The 17070-nt window shown below is 40.7% G+C and overlaps 1 protein-coding gene across 1 annotated transcript in view, besides 1 other annotated feature; it reads left to right on the forward strand.

Moving 5' to 3' along the window:
• Positions 1-16603, forward strand: part of C12orf75 (chromosome 12 open reading frame 75) — a 40828-nt gene extending 24225 nt beyond the window's left edge. The window contains exons 3-6 of the mRNA NM_001145199.2: positions 10892-10927; positions 11702-11781; positions 12557-12594; positions 15719-16603. Coding sequence (NP_001138671.1) covers positions 10892-10927; positions 11702-11781; positions 12557-12561 — 121 coding nt within the window. The 3' untranslated portion in view covers positions 12562-12594; positions 15719-16603. The remainder of the gene's footprint in view (positions 1-10891; positions 10928-11701; positions 11782-12556; positions 12595-15718) is intronic.
• Positions 2721-2790: a silencer, noted in NCBI's record as "silent region_4811". NCBI's record gives its function as "represses an Ori minimal core promoter by ATAC-STARR-seq in GM12878 lymphoblastoid cells {active_cell/tissue: GM12878}" and the evidence as "EXISTENCE:reporter gene assay evidence [ECO:0000049][PMID:35858748]".
• Positions 16604-17070: the final 467 nt, after the last annotated feature.

The raw sequence follows: 17070 nt of genomic DNA on the forward strand, positions 1-17070 counted from the left end.
ACTGGAGCTGATGTTGCAATAAGAAAGCAGCCTTCTTGGGAATGATGGGACTATCGAAAGGAGGATTTTTTTTTCCTCCCTAGGGAGTGGGATTTTCTACTCTAAAATGTGGTAAAATAGTTCCAGGAACTATACTCCATGGAGCAGCCATCGGAGTATGTTAGCGGAGCAGCACAGAAGTTGTTGGGATAGAGGAAGTCAGCAAAATATGAGGTGAGAGGTTGGATGGGTGGTTTTCACGAATTTCTTTTTCTTTTTCTTTTTCTTTTTTTTTTTCAGAGTTTTGCTCTCTTGCCCAGGCTGGAGTGCAGTGGCACTATCTCAGCTCACTGCAACCTCTGCCTCCTGGGTTCAAGTGATTCTCCTGCCTCAGCCTCCCAAGTAGCTGGGATTACAAGCGCATGTCACCACGCCCAGCTGATTTTTGTGTTTTTAGTAGAGTTGGGATTTTGCCATATTGGCCAGGCTGGTCTCGAACTCCTGACCTTGTGATCCGCCCGCCTTGGCCTCCCAAAGTGCTAGGATTACAGGTGTGTGCCACTGCACGTGGCCATTTTCATGGAGTTTTAAATTGACCAAGATAATGGTGCTTAGAAAGAAAAACTTTGGGTCAGGGTCAAAATCTTTGGTGCTCTGGGGACAGTTATGGCAGGGTTTAGACTCCAGAGAGGAGAGGTTCTGAGTGAAAATGAAATGGCCCCACCTGTAAGAGCTCTGTGGGGAGATGAGGAGCATGCTGGCTCTGTCTCCTGTTAGGAGAAGCTAGGGTAGGTGAGAACAAGATGCATATTCTTGAGGTTTTGAGAAAAGTGGTGCCAGCAAGGAAAAGCCAAATTTCTTAAGGTAAGGAGATGAAGAGTGCACCCTTGCCTTATAGCAAATGATATTTTTACAACCAATTCTGAAATAATTCCTAACACTGTGTGCCCCTTAGTAAGAGAATAACTGGGGGGAGGAGAGCTAGAGAGGACAGGGAATTTGCAGTCTGGCTCTTGATCTCTTGCTTCTGGATAAAGAGAAGTTGAAAGCATTCCTTTGAAGTGAATGTTACTCATGTTCTCCAGTCATACACTCTGGAAGAAAGAAAGGGACTAATATTGGCCAATGGGCTCATCCAGGGAGAGAGATCAAAAGAAAACAGTCCAAAGAAGTTTTGAAATTGGAAAGAAATGAATGATATTAAACATAGGCCAAAACAGCCAATGGTAAAACATAATTCATTGTGTAATTAAGGGTTTGCTAGAATGGATTGAAACCACCCCAAGGAGCAGGAACCATCATGAAAACATGTTATAAAGAAAATTAAATAATTATATTTTATCTGGAGAATTGTAGTGTAGATGGAAGTAAACACAATCAATTAATAAACCTATTCCAGAAGGTTATCATGAATGGTAACTAGAAACAGATCAGGAGAGCCATGGTCTCCAGGGTTTCCATATTCAATTTTTACTGTTTACGAGTCAAAGTAAGTTTAGCCTCTTTAGTGACACTGCAAATAGGGAAAAAGAAAAGACTACAGGCTTTTTTTTTTTTTTTTTTTTTGCTTTTTAGATCATCTCTAATAAGAATAGCTGTATATTTAGAACATTTTTCTTGATGAATAAGTAAAAAATAAATCATTTCTTTGCCACATAACTTTGTTAGTTCTAGAAGCCTAAGGGAAGTGAGAACTTTCTGAATTTTCAGGTAAGTTGTAGCAAGGATGACTTGGGAGCTGCTGTTTCAAATGGCTGGCTGCTATCTCATATTTGTCATCTGTATTTGTCCTTGATCATGACATGGTTCCATTATTTCACTGTTAAAATCTTTAGGTCACTTGGGATAGCTATTTTATACAACCCAGAAACTAAGTAAATGTAATGATGAAAGATTTTGACTACCATATATTACTGAGGAAGAAAAAGATTCATATTTTATGTATTAACTTTGAATAAGGTTTCACTTAATGAAAGTGATAGTTATTGGTAAGATAAATCATAGTAATTTAAAATGATTGTAAGGTTGAGGTGTTCCATGCAGATATTTGGTTTTAAATAGGCATGCAAAAAATACATTAATTTAAAAAAAGGCCAGGTAGGCGAAAGCCCACCCACCCCAAAGAGCAGCCACAGAGACATGGTCGTTTTGGAGGCAGCCCACCTTCCAGAACCCCGACCTACAAGAAGACAGAGCTTATTTATGATTAGAGAGACATTCAATGTCTCCAGTTCATTCAGAAAAAGTCTGTGACCCTAGTATAAAACAGAAGGATGCATAACTACCTAGAGAATCTGGATCAGCACTGCTATTCACCCTGAGAAGGGTAAGAAGAGCACCTGGCTGGTTTTAGTAAGTTCACAGGAAGTGAGCTAGAAGTGGAATTAATAGAAACTCTGAGACAGAGGAAACCCGAAGCCATCCATCTGTAATCTTAGTTGCAGTGGTTGCCTTTGGTCAGTTGCTTTTTTTTCTTTTCTTCTTTCTTTTTCTTGCATGCCGAGTGTCAAGCCAACTTTGATAAGGTACATATCACTAAACAGTATCTTACTCTACAAGAGTGAGTCATGTTTAAACCATCAACTGAGGATTTATCTTTTCAACAATCCCAAAAGACGTTGAAAGTGGGGAGAATATGAGTTACGGGGGTCACCTTGAATAACACTTGTTTCTGCAAACAGTTTTATTAATGCTATGACTGAAAGTCTGACTCAGAGCCCTGTAAGTGTGTGACCTTAGGCTAGGAGATGATTATGATACTCAACGGGTGGCTTGAACCTCGACTCATTCTTTCTCCTTGATCACCTGTTCTTTGATAAAAGAAGCTACATTTTTTTGCTAACAAAAGGAGACCTGATTTTAGTTGAATGCCCAATGTATTTTCTGTGTGTGTGTGTGTGTGTGTGTGTGTGTGAGAGAGAGAGAGAGAGAGAGAGGAGAGAGAGAGAGACAGACAGACAGACAGACAGACACAGGGTCTTGCTCTGTTGCCCAGGCTGGAGTGCAGTGGTGCGATCATGACTCACTGTAACCTCGACCTCCCAGGCTCAGGCAGTCTTCCCATTTCAGCCTCCTGAGTAGCTGGGACTACAGGTGCAAGCCAGCATGCTTGGCTATTTTATTTTGTATTTTTTGAAGAAACAGGGTCTCCCTTTGTTGCCCCAGCTGATCTTGAACTCCTGGGCTCAAGATATCTGTCTGCCTTGGCTGCCTGAATTGCTGAGATTACAGATGTGAGTCACTGCGCTGGGCTCAGTGTATTTTTTAAACCTGGTCCAAATTGGTGAATACATGTTCTATGGTTCTTAGGGAACGTTCCTGTGGTTTAAAAGGTTTTATAGCTGGGCATGGTGGCACGTGTTTGTAGTCCCAGCCACTCAGGAGGCTAAGGTGGGAGGATCACTTGAGCTGAGGAGTTCGAGACCAGTCTAGGCAACATAGTGAGACTCCATCTCTACAAAACCAAAAAACATATATGTTAGCCAGGTGCGGGGTGTGCGCCTGTGGTGCCAGCTGCTAGGGAGGCCGAGATGGGAGCATCGCTTGAGCCTGAGAGGTTGAGGCTACAGTGAGCTATGATTGTGCCACTGCTCTCCAGCCTAGGCTATGGAGCAAGACCCTGTCTCAGAAAAAAACCAAAACAATAATAATAAATAAATACAGGGTTTTCCTGATAAGATGGTATTTGAGGTTATGATTAAAAAATATTTCAGTCTTACATTTTTTCAAATGTTGCATTACTTTCCACAAATTTTTCAAATGGTATAGATGAGGAGAAACAAAACATTGTCTTGATACCAGAGAAAGCAATTTACCGATAGGTTTTCAGTCATGCTTACCCTGGAAAAACAAGCTTATTACACAAGTTTATTCTTTAGAGTAGTGGCTCGTGTGCAACTAGAAAATGGAATCACTGCTCAGTAAATTAATGTAAATCCTTTAGTACTGGCTTCCTCCAGCACTCTTTGGACTCCAGAAGTCAGTCTTCCTTCTAAGATTGGCTCTGGGCACAGCTGTAAAGCGGATGATGTTTCGACCAAACCCCAGCACTTGGTTCCAGTCCCTTCCCTTGGGTCTTCCTTCCCCTTTCACTTCTCTAATGGACTTAATGTCTAGCATAGCTCCCCTAGCAAGAGCAGGATTTGTCTTGATGTGCCACGTACTTATTTCCAGATTTCCCTTGATCCCTTGGTAATTTGGGCTAGTTTCTCTTCCCCTGCGTCGGCACCAACGTTTGACTCCATGGTTGTGAAATTGAAGAAGTCGTGATAAGCTTCAATGCTTGGGGCCAGGCCAGAAGTGGTGGGAGGCAAACTGGTAGAATTCACCTTTTACTTTTTATTTTTAGGTGATTTGGTTTATGGCACCTGATCCCTTATCTCCTCTAACTCTGCATTTTGGTTCTCTTGGTATAAGCCTTATCTTCAAGGTTTCTTCCCCATTTATAGTAGATTAAGGGGTACTCTTGTTGCCCCTAAGTTGCTTCTCTCCCATTTTCCAGTTTTTAGTGCGTTGGCTTGTGGGCGTCTGGGCATTGCTTCCTGAATTGTGCCCTCCACCCCAGGAGGCTATTATTTAGCAGTGGATTATTACTGGCTGGGCGCAGTGGCTCACACCTGTAATCTCAGCACTTTGGGAGGGCAAGGCGGGTGGATCACTTGGGGTCAGGAGTTCAAGACCAGCCTGGCCAACATGGTGAGACCCCGTCTGTACTAAAAATACAAAAATTACTCAGGCGTGGTGGTGTGTGCCTATAGTCCCAGGTATTTGGGAGGCTGAGGTAGGAGAATCGTTTGAACCCAGGAGGCAGAGGTTCCAGTGAACTGAGATCACACCACTGCACTCCAGTTGGGGCAAAAGAGCCAGACTCCTTCTCCAGAAAAAAAAAAAAAAAAAAAGATTACGATTATACCATGAGAGATTTATCCTGGTTGCTGTATGTCCATTTGCTCCTTTTCTACGGGAGCAAGATTATGTTTAAACTGAGTTTGTAGAGATGTTTGGACCAATTAACTCCCAAAGAGTGTGATCAAGTGCAGCAGGACAGTTTGACCTCTTTTCTAGTTTCAGCCACCGTGAATTGGCCTTGTCTTCACTTTGTTTATCTCCTCCAGCACAGAATAATTCAATCTCCAGGCCCTGATCTCTGAGGGAAGATTCTAGAGGGTGAAGTCATCTCATTCCTTGCTCTTACTGATCTGCATTAGGACTGACTGCAGAAACTAGGGCCTTGCTGCCTCCTTCTGAAGACCTTCTGGGCCCTATCACTGGCTGCTATTCTCACAAGGCTGGGGAGGGTGTGGCTCTGTGTTCTGCTCTCCCTCCCCATTTCTTTCTCTGGTTTGGGGGACAAATTTTGCAGTCCATCAGCAATCACGGCTGCAGAGCATGCAGTGGTCACTGCCCTACAACTGGAGCTGTAGTGACCAGAAAAGAAAATAATCACATCCTTGGTGAAGAACGGAGTGGCTCATCCAGGAGCTTATGTGGCTGTGGATGTTCTGGCCTGAGCATGGCCATTTCCAGCAAGACATTCTGGATCCTCAGGGCTGAAGAAGGACCAGACACTATTTTTGTAACTTCTGAAACCTAATAGAAATCTATGTGTGCCTACGGTGATGTGTACCTGTAAATGTAAAATTTATTTGCCTTTGATTTGAATGACATAAGCTACCTGTGGGCACCTCAGTTCCCCCATGCCCATCAGAAGCTCCTTTTGGCACTTACATGTGTAAGAAAATATTGACAAGTGAATTATTACAATTTTTATTTTTTGAGACGGGGCCTTGCTCTTTCACCCAGGCTGGAGTGCAGTGGCGTGATCTCAGCTGACTGCAACCACTGTCTCCCGGGCTCAGGTGAACATCTGGGCTGCCTCATCTTAGATCTTTTTTTTTGTGAGACCGAGTCTGTCTCTGTTGCCCAGCCTGGAGTGCAATGGCGCGATCTCGGCTCACTGCAACCTCCGCCTCCCAGGTTCAAGCGATTCTCCTGCCTCAGCCTCCCGAGTAGCTGAAATAACAGGCACACATCACCATGCCCAGTTAATTTTTGTATTTTTAGTAGAGACGGGGTTTCTTCATGTTGGCCAGGCTGGTCTCGAACTCCTGACCTCAGGTGATCCGCCTGTCTCGGCCTTCCAAAGTGTTGGGATTAAAGGTGTGAGCCACCGCGCCTGCCCTGTAGATCATTTTAAGGAATCAACGTACCCTTTTCCCTCACAAGAGGGAGGCTCGTGTGATCCTCCCACCGCCACCTCCTGTAGCTGGGACCACAGGTGCACACCACCACACCTGGCTACTTTTATTTTATTTTCTGTGTTCTTAGTAGAGATAAGATCTTGCCGTGTTGCCCAGGCTGAAATTATTAAGGCAGGTAAAATCTTTCAAAATAAAGAGTTTTGTGAGGGGGAAAAAGGTATGTTGATTCCTTAAAATGGTTTGCAGATGGGGCAGCCCTGTTGTTTGGATAGCTGGGGCATTATTCAACACTTGAGAAATTGAGAACAAGGATTCAAATCCCAAAGACTTAAAGTTTCTTGTAAAAGTGTTGAGTGATAAAATAAATTTAACATCCCAGTTTTGAACAGCCACTTCTCTTACCAAAAAAACGACCTTTAGGGAAATGAGTCCCCCCACCAGAAGGTGTGCTTTTTAGACTTTTTAGACTATGGAGCCTAAAAACCTAATAACCTGAGGCAATCGCATTGGCCTGTCAGGAGCTTTGGCTTAACATGTCTGGGCCTTCCTTTTACCAGGGGTCTTTATTGCTGTGTATTGACCCATTTTTCTTCCTTACGCTAAAGCTTGTGCAGGTGGGGCAGGACCACACCACCCCAACAGGTAGGATGCTGTGTCCCTTTGAACACTGGCAGGACAGCATTTGGTTCTCTCCCCAGGCAGCTCAACACAAGGGCTTGGACCTATCCTTCCGCAGGAAGAGTTGGTTTAGACCAACCACCGCTTTCTGATTTAACCTTAGTCTGGACCTGGTTGTCCAGATGAATAGATTCTAATGTAACTGCTCATCAGAACAACCTTTGTACCTGCATAAAAATGACTTATGTGGCAATTTGACAAGATCTGCGAAGATTGATGGTCCCTGGCAGCAGTTAGAGGTTGTTTCTCATGCTGATGAAACAGACTAGGACTCTTCTACAATCTTGTTTCTGACTTTTCTTGAGTGGGATGATAAAAATTGGAGAGCTCCTGGCCGGGCGCGGTGGCTCACGCCTGTAATCCCAGCACTTTGGGAGGCCGAGGCGGGCGGATCACGAGGTCAGGAGATCGAGACCATCCTGGCTAAAACGGTGAAACCCCGTCTCTACTAAAAATACAAAAAATTAGCCGGGCGTGTGGCGGGCGCCTGTAGTCCCAGCTACTTGGGAGGCTGAGGCAGGAGAATGGCGTGAACCCGGGAGGCGGAGCTTGCAGTGAGCCGAGATCCCGCCACTGCACTCCAGCCTGGGCGACAGAGCGAGACTCCGTCTCAAAAAAAAAAAAAAAAAAAAAAAAATTTGGAGAGCTCCTTTGGGAGGCTGAGGCGGGTGGATCATGAGGTCAGGAGATTGAGACCATCCTGGCTAACATGGTGAAACCTCCTGTCTACTAAAAATACAAAAAATTAGCCGGGTGTGGTGGCGGGTGCCTGTAGTCCCAGCTACTCAGGAGGCTGAGGCAGGAGAATGGCGTGAACCTGGGAGGCGGAGCTTGCAGTGAGCTGAGATCGCGCCACTGCACTCCAGCCTGGGTGACAGAGCAAGACTCCGTCTCAAAAAAAAAAAAAAAAAAATTGGAGAGCTCCAGCTGCGGGAAGGTGCATGTTTCTCTAATGCAAATTAGCATGGGCCTACAGTGTATGAAGCAGGAATTAGGATCACACAAATCTGGGTTTGAATTCTGGCTCTATGATTTAGCTTCGTAAGTTCGGTCATGCTACTCAGTTTTTTCATTTTTAAAATGTGAGTAGTACTGGTCTTGCAAGATTGTATAAGGATTAAATGAACTAATATAATAGGATTAGCAAAGTGCCTAGTATAGTTACACAATCAGGTTGAGAGATGGGATGATGGTCAAAGCTTTTGCAAAAGCAGTATGGAGGTGAATCGCCCACTTTAGGAGAAGCCACTACGTTGGTCTTTCACAGGAAGTGTTTTTGACTTTTACATCTTTCTACCTGAGAAGCAGAGTGGTGAATGAGAATGGAGCATGGCTTTGGTGCCAGATGGATGGGGTATGGATGTTGGTCATGCTTGTTAGTCTTGTATGTTTATGAATTACATGGCTTTCTGCACCTGGTTCCTCAGGCCTAGGCCCTCAGAGCTGTTGTGAGGAATAGCATGGATGCACGTGCAGTGTCCTGCACTGTGCCTGACACACAGGAGAGACTCATGAATGACACCATTATACCCACGGAGTCCTGGTCTCTAGTCCTAGTGTTGTAGAATAACTGTTTGTGGAAGGAATGGATGAAGTGACAGTCTTATACATGGGAGTGAGTATGCAAAGACAGGCTTTACAACTTACTGGAAGGTTTAAAAGAGTGGATATCTGGCCGGGCGGGGTGGCTCAGCCTGTAATCCCAGCACTTTGGGAGGCCGAGGTGGGAGGATCACGAGGTCAGGAGATCAAGACCATCCTGGCCAACATGTTGAAACCTCGTCTCTACTAAAAATACAAAAATTAGCTGAGCATGGTGGCACGGGCCTGGAATCCCAGCTACTCGGGAGGCTGAGGCAGGAGAATCACTTGAACCAGGGAGTCAGAGGTTGCAGGGAGCCGAGATTGTGCCACTGCACTCCAGGCTGGTGACAGAGCAAGACTCTGTCTTAATTAAAAAAAAAAAAAAGAGTGGACATCTTATAAGTCTTTATAGGTAGTATTTTTTTTAAGATTTGGCATTATATCTGAAGCTTAATTTATTATCCAATAAATATGGCAACTACATTATCATTTCCTGCCAGTTATACATGTAAGGTTGTTGATTAATTTTATAATGGAGAACACAGATTGAGTTTTAAGATATTGAGTAATTTAACAGGAGAAAGTAAATGACTATTTTCTTACATTTGGGAAAGTGAAAATATATTTTAAAACCTTGAATATATCCTTAAGCACAGTTAAGCAAAAGGGGAAAGAATTAAAATAAACGGATATGTAAATGGATGTGAAAAGAATAGTCATGGCCGGAAATGTGTGTCATAAGCTACCAGTTATATACAGATTCAAGTGATTTCTTGAGAAAGTTAATCACTCAGGACCAAAGTAAACAGTTCTTATCAGAACTTACCTTGAACGAGTTTGTCCTCATCATTTCTCCATTATCTATGCTAAAGGATTATAAATCCATTTTAATTAAAAGTAGTGAACAACTCTCTCTTATACCACATCAATAAGCATAACACCATTAGTATGACTTTGACACTTGAACTAAAAAAACAATCCAGCGTTAAGAGGTAAATGAAGCTGATAACCATCTAGTGAATTTAGGTTATATGCTCAGTTTGGATGAATTAGGTCTCAAGATGGATTTTGCACTCTCTTCCAGTATTAGCTGTTCATGGCCAGCGTTCACCAGATAATTATTAAATCTACACTTTCCTTCTTTATAGACTTGGACTTACTGGCTGTTGCAATAAAGCAAAAATCTCATGCACATATACAGTCACATTTGAAATATTCACAGCTTTTAAGTGGGTAAAATCATAGTTAGACAATCTCTGAATCAGAAGAGTCAATGACATTTAGATGTTTGCAGTCTGCTTTTTGCTCAACTGAAGCCCCTTAGTGTTACAAGTTGAATTCAGCCAGATACATTGGAATCTTGTTGAATTATTTTTTTTTTCTTTCAGAAAAGCAACTTATGTATGCCAACTAGTGCTTCAAGGAAAGTGTCCTGATTCTCTTAGAAATACGCCAAGGAATTCTGGTAGAATATGGACTCCTTTTTTTTTTTTTTTTTTTTTTGAGACCAAGTATCCCTCTGTTGCCCAAGCTGGAGTGTAATGGCGTGATCTCTGCTCACTGCAACCTCCACCTCCCGGGTTCAAGGATTCCTGTGCCTCAGCCTCTTGAGTAGCTGGGACTACAGGCGTCACCATGCCTGGCTAATTTTTGTATTTTTAGTAGAGATGGGGTTTCAGCATGTTGGCCAAGCTGGTCTCGAACTCCTGACCTCAGGTGATCCGCCCGCCTCGGCCTCCCAAAGTGCTGGTATTACAGGCATGAGCCACCATGTCCAGCTTGGATTCCTCTTAATGCAAGGAGAGAAGCTGTGCATTTTAAAGTAGTGATCCCCTCTAAATGTATCCTTTTAAATATTTCTCCCTCTCTTTGCAGTAGATCATGTATGAAATGGCTCATGTTTTTAGATAAAAAAAAATCAAATAGGCATTAACTCTTTTTGCACTGAAGAAGTCTTTCAGTACCTATAGTTGTGCCACTGAAGTGTCATAAGAGATCTAAAACCATGTATTAGGACTGGAAGAGACCTGAGGGGTCATCTGGTCAACCAGCTTATTTTACAAATGAGACACAGGCTGGCAGCTCGCCCACAGCCTGTCTGTCACACAGGGAGTGGGTGGTACACACAAGACGATAACTCAGGCTTCTTTCCAATTTCAGCTGCCCTCAGTTTTCCATTTCATTTGGCAGTTGTGCATTTTGGCATTTGCTGGATTCACACATTTTGGTTTGTAGAAAATTACCAAGTTTTAACGTATGAATGATTGAGGTGAAGGCAGAATATTGTCACAGAAACACTTGATGGATAGTTTTGCTCCTCTACTTAAGTCTGATGGAAACATTTGAAATAAAATTGACTTCAACTCAGTAGTCCCTTTTTCTCATAACCAAAAATGAAGTCCCCGACTATGTAACCAAGTGTCTCATAGCAAATGTTTCTGACCTTTTAGAACAGAAGAATCCGTAACAGAAGATGACAAGAGGAGGTATGTTTGGTATTGCAGCTGGCTTTAGTTTGAATGGTTTTGGCCATACCTCATGGATTTAACACACTGTAGCATATTCCCAATAACACAGATTCTGCCAGGAAAACTGTTGGCACAGAGAATACAGGTAGGGGCATATGGTCTGAAAAAGAACTTGCCCAGGATTCATCATCTTTGCTCCTTCCAAGCAAACTTGGTTTTTGTCCTATGCATGTGGCGTGTGCTAATTTTCATCCTATGACCTTTGGGTGTGCTCTTCTCCCTAACTGGATGACTTCCCTTCATTCTCTCAGCCTTCCCTGTCCTCCTACTTCTCTGATTAACTGCACTCCACCCTCATTTCTCTCTTGCTGTCTCTGCCCTCATTTTGTATCTCTCTATTAGTAAGATATCTTTGTGTGTCCATAATGCCTAATATCATACCATGTTGACCACTCTGAATTATTGATAAATGTTAACTGTAACATGTCACTGTATGATATTTAATACTCTAATAAATTGTAACATCCCAAAGTCTTTTCTTCTTTCTCATTACAAGTAAAATATCTAAAAATTCTACTAACGCAATACATCTTTCTTTTTTTTAAAAAAAATAGCTTCTTTTTAACCTAGGAAACCAATTATATTCCCAAGGGCCATAATATTCTAGATTCTACTTTTGAAAAATCATGAGTTATTTTAATAATTATATAATTGTTTGGAGTACTCCGTGCTTCTGTTGCTTCCTGTAAATAGATAGTACCATTTAAATTGGTTTGATTTCTTTTTATCAAGAAACTATGGAGGAGTATATGTTGGCCTACCATCTGAAGCTGTCAATATGGTGTCCAGTCAAACAAAGACGGTTCGGAAAAGTAAGTGAAATCATGTGCTGTTGATTTTCCCTAATTATTTATTTTTATGTTTTATGAAAAAGCATGAAATTTATATTTCAGCTTACTCGACTCAACCTATGTATTGGTTGCAGTGAACCATGTATAAGTACTGTCTGTTCATTGCAGTCATTGGTTGAAATAGCCACCCACATGGTAAGAAGAATTCCAGAGCATAATTTAGCTTTTATTTGTGGTTATGCTCCATATTTTTAATTTCTTGTTAATTTTAGCAATGATCAGTGTGAAAATGAAAGCTAATATTTATGTAAGTTTATGGCATTTTCATAGAACAGAAAGGTAAATTTCTGTAATATAAGATGACTGACTGATAAGCAATCTGCTGTTTAAAGGAAAAATAATTGCCTATTGTATAATTAAATGAAATGAGGCTTCATTTTCTGAGTTTTAATAGTTAGCAATTATGGGGCCAATGAAGTCCTTTTGACTGATAGATATCTTCTTGCTCAAGGCAATTTTTAAGCGAGGCTCATGGTAAACAATGCTGATTTATAAAACCACTGTACAATGTATTGTCTGATGTATAGTTTTAAATGACTATTAACATGTTTGCTTTATACACAAGGCTGTATTACATTATTTTGAACATACTATATTTGTTCCTCATTGTTCTTTCTGTACTTTGTGATTTAGACTAGCAAATACATGTATGTCATTACTGTTTAATGTTCTATAGAAAATTAGAATATGCTATTTATAATCTGAACATTTAACTTTTCTTAATTTTCTCTTTAAGATTAGAAGAAAATAACATCATGACTCAAGAATCAAGAGGTGCTGTATATTTTTCTAAATAATTCTATATATTTAGACTTATTGATGAATGGACTGTAGATATTATTTGCTCTATAAAAAATTTCTAAGAAATCTTGAACTTTACAATTTAAAGGAGGGGTTTCATCCTATGGAATTGAGTGTGTTTTATTGCATAGAGGTGAATAATCAGATCAATTTTCTTTCAGCTACTTTTTTCATTTCATTTTGTTAAAAATGAATATTTATTTAATAAGAGCAAGCTAAGTGTCTCCCTAAAACATTGAGATCTCACCCTTCTTCATTGCAGAAATCTTTGAGGGCCTAGGACTTGAGAAATGACAGGGAGAGACCAGAGAGGCTAGAACTGGGGATTAGATTAGAATCGATTTTAAGTGGTATTAGCCAGTGGTTAATATACAGAGAGGAGATGTGTCAGTACCAGAACTCCAGTAGAGATGGGCAATCGGTCAATTAAGTCCCAAACACTTAATATTGATTCTAATCTAACTGAACAGAGATGTAGTTATGCAGGAAGGAATAGTAAGAATCAGAGAATAAGTTAACAGATTGGTTTTACAAAACACGTTCAGTATGGACATGGCAAAGAGCTAGGAGTTAGAATTATAATAAGAAACAAGAACAACGACAAGAGAAAAATAGCTTTCATTTGTTAACTACCCTACATACCAGTCTTTAAAAGACATGGAGCAGCATTTCCATACAGACAAAGAATCTTAGTTCACTGGGTCCACCAAGGGTCCAACAACACATTCCATGCTGGGCTCTCCACTGTATTTCACTCCTGGTGAATGACACCCAACCTCTTTTGAGGCCTCCAGTGATTAGGAACGTCCTATCTCCTGAGATAGCCTGTTCTATTCTGGAAGTCAGGTTGCCTTGGTTATGAATTCAGGCTCTCATTTACTAGCTGGGCACGTTCCTTCCCCTTTATGACCTCAGTTTTGTTATCTGAAAAATGGAGCCAATACTTAGACTGAAGAGTTGTTGTTAGGATTAAATATGAAATAAATGTTAGCATCTGCTATCATCATCGTCATCACCACCATACTATTAATTTTTTTTGATAACCAGAATCTAACCGTTGGCAGACCAAAAGCAAGACTGATTTGATACTGAACCAACTTCTTGCCCAGGGCCAGTACTGGATTTGCTGTTTGGGATGGGGTGGGATTACAGACTAATTTCACAGGTAGAGACAAACAAACTTACCTGCTAGAGAAAGGAGACGCAGAAACTGTAACCAGTTTCTTCCTGACAAGAACTAGAACAATCTGTGGGTAGCTACTTCTTTGAAGATTTGCTCATCAAGGCAACATTTTGGAGTTTTATCCCCTCGTACCCATGAACAGAGGGTATTCGGTTTCTTCTTGGGAGGTCACTGGAGAGTTTCTATTTCTAGTATTTTTAACATAGTTCTAGCCCTCCATATAGATTTCTGAGTTCTCCGCTAGTTTTCTCCTGTGCAGAAGTACTTTTATTATTTGTATCAAATAGAAAAGATAAGTTGAAACCAAGAATATACTGCTGTTTACCCTCCTGGAAACAGAATGTATTTCAAAAAGCATAGAAATAGAGTGGAAAGAGGTGCTGTCTACATAGCTATCAGGAGACTGGGCAGCTCTGCTACCAACACAGACCTAAGACGAATCCCTTAACTTCCCTCAGCTTGTCTCAACCACAGTTTTCTCATGGGAGTGTTAGACACGATGATTGCTCACCCTTGTGGGTGGATCTGAAGTTTGCCACTAACACTTTAGCATAATCCTGGTGAGCAAGCTCATATAATTTTAGGCAGCTAGCTAAAACATTTCTTACTGTTCATGGCTGTAAATTTATCGTATTTTATTGCACCCCTCTCTCTCCTCAACTTTCCCCATTCTTTAACTCTTTCTTTTTTTTCTATTACCCTTACATTTTATTTATTTTACTTATTTTTATTTTTATTTTACTTTAAGTTCTGGGATACATGTGCTGAACGTGCAGGCTTGTTACATAGGTAAACATGTGCCATGGTGGTTTGCTGCACCTATCAACCCATCATCTAGGTTTTAAGCCGCACATGTATTAGGTATTTGTCCTAATGCTCTCCCTCCCCTTTCCCCCAACCCCTGAACAGGCCCCGCTGTGTGATGTTCCCCTCCCTGTGTCCATGTATTCTCATGGTTCAGCTCCCACTTATGAGTGAGAACATGCGATGTTTAGCTGTCTCTAAACAATTAGTTTGATCCTGGTCTTTCTGTAGCCTCCTTTGAATTATCTGAAAAGTTTTCTAAGTTGATAGGCTGCCCATTTTCCTTAGATGCTAAGCATCCATTGTGGTCCTTACCTGTGACATGTCTGAACTCATGGCTTTCTAGGCCTTAGTTGTTGGGCAGAAACCCTGATGAGATGACTTTAGAAAAGAGATGTTTCATGGAAAGAATTGGAGACACTTTTGTTGTTGTTGTTGTTTGTTTGTTTTTTACCTAACATGTAGACTCTCTGAACTAAATGCACTCAGTGACCAAAGTTCAAAGTTGATTTGGTTTGGTTGATTTTGAAACAAATTGAGGAATGATTTCAGAATCCCTTAAAATTACTTATGTCAGGATGCAGATGTGTAGTTTCTTCTGCAGATGACCCTAGGCTGAAAGTTATGCCCACTTAGATGTGCAGACTACTTCCAGCACAGAGGGGCTTAAGTGATGGTGCTCAGATGACAATGGATGGCCTGGCTGCATCAGAATCCCGTGGGGGAGTGCCATGTAATGTGGAGGCCTAGGCTCTCCCAGGAGGTTTGGACCAAGTGGGGAAGGGATGGAATTGTGACCGAACAGTCTCTATTTTTAATTTGGATGATGTTAATATACATGCAGCTAGGTTTGGGCATTGCTTATCAAGATGTATTTTAATTGTAAGTTTGTAAGTCTCTTTTCCTACCCAACTTTGCCTCTTTATATAATTATCATCAATGCTTGGCTCTACACTGGCCACCTAAGTCTTAAATTAATATTGGGTGAATATTAAATAGGTGTTTTACTTAAAAGAAAGTAAATAACTTGTAGGCTTAAGGCTAATACATTTTTTAACCTAAGTTGTACCTGTTTGCTCACTCTTTTCTCCTCTTCTGTTGTCTCCTTAGCTTGCTCATCAGTTTGGAAGGAATTTGGCTCCGTGGGACGTTGTAATGTGCACAGACATTTCCAAGGAAATTCTAAACAGTCACCCTTCCCTTTTGCATTCCCCCAAATCTTAAGTGTATACATAAAACCCTGGGTACATATTGTTGTGGTAATAGAAGGGAATTGGTTAAACAGTACACTTGTTTATGGAACTTTCTGTGGCCACCTACGAAAGACAAGTTAACAAACTGTCATGGAGGCTGTTGTTGCCCAGCCAGGGCCGCTGCATTTTGACAACATTTCCACCCTGGCCACTCAGCACATTTCATGGAGGTCATGTCTTTTCACTGATACTTTTTTGATAGTTTTTATATAACAAAATCCTTATTCTATTTATAACTTAAGATGATAAGGCACTATAAATTAATGACCTAAAATAATATATTTGTCTGTTATCTTTTGCTATTTCTACTTCACTTTAATTTTTAGCTGTAAAATTGGTAAATGGATTCTTACAACTATCTCTTTCCATTTCTTACTATTTGGTTTTCAAATTTCATTTAAATGTCAGAATTTCCTTTTTTAGGAACAATGTGTATTTCATTGCACTATTTAAAAATAAACTCAAATTTGCATGCCATATGCACATTTTGATTACATTTTTATTTTCTTTCGTGAAAGGCATGTGCAACTACAAATACTTCATAGCTGTTTGGGTTGCTCATTCTACATCACGACAATCTCATCATATTATTTCTATAACTTTTCAAGGACTTGCGATGGATGGTTAGTGGGATATCTGGAAATTAATTTGATAATGACTTGTGTATCTACTTAGTATTGCAATGTAAGTTACTCAATTCACCAATGTATTTCAACAATTAAAACATTTTTATCCCTCTTCACTTACATTTCTTAATTATTTTTCAAAAGAACACTTAAAGTCACACATGGCATTGTGATGTATAGATACATTATATAAACATATGAAGATAATAATATATAAGTAGATTACTAAGAAAAACCAAAGTTTTTCATAGGAAGAAAGGCATTATCTTATATATTTGGTCTGTATGACAACCACAGGGACATCAAATTGATAAAAAATTTCAAAGCTAAGAATTACTAAGAAATTATCCTGATACACACATTCCTGTCTCATGTTCATAAGTCCATAATGGTATTTAGGTGGAATATCAGCAGTTTGTCCTATTAGGAATAACAGATAGATTGACTTTTTTTTTTTTTTTGGTGATGGAGTCTTGCTCTGTCTCCCAGGCTGGAGTGCAATGGCATGATCTCGGCTCACTGCAACCTCTGCCTCCTGGGTTCAAGCGATTCTCCTGCCTTAGCCTGCCAGGTAGCTGGGACT

Source organism: Homo sapiens, chromosome 12, assembly GCF_000001405.40.
Source record: "Homo sapiens chromosome 12, GRCh38.p14 Primary Assembly".
Lineage (NCBI taxonomy): Eukaryota > Metazoa > Chordata > Mammalia > Primates > Hominidae > Homo > Homo sapiens.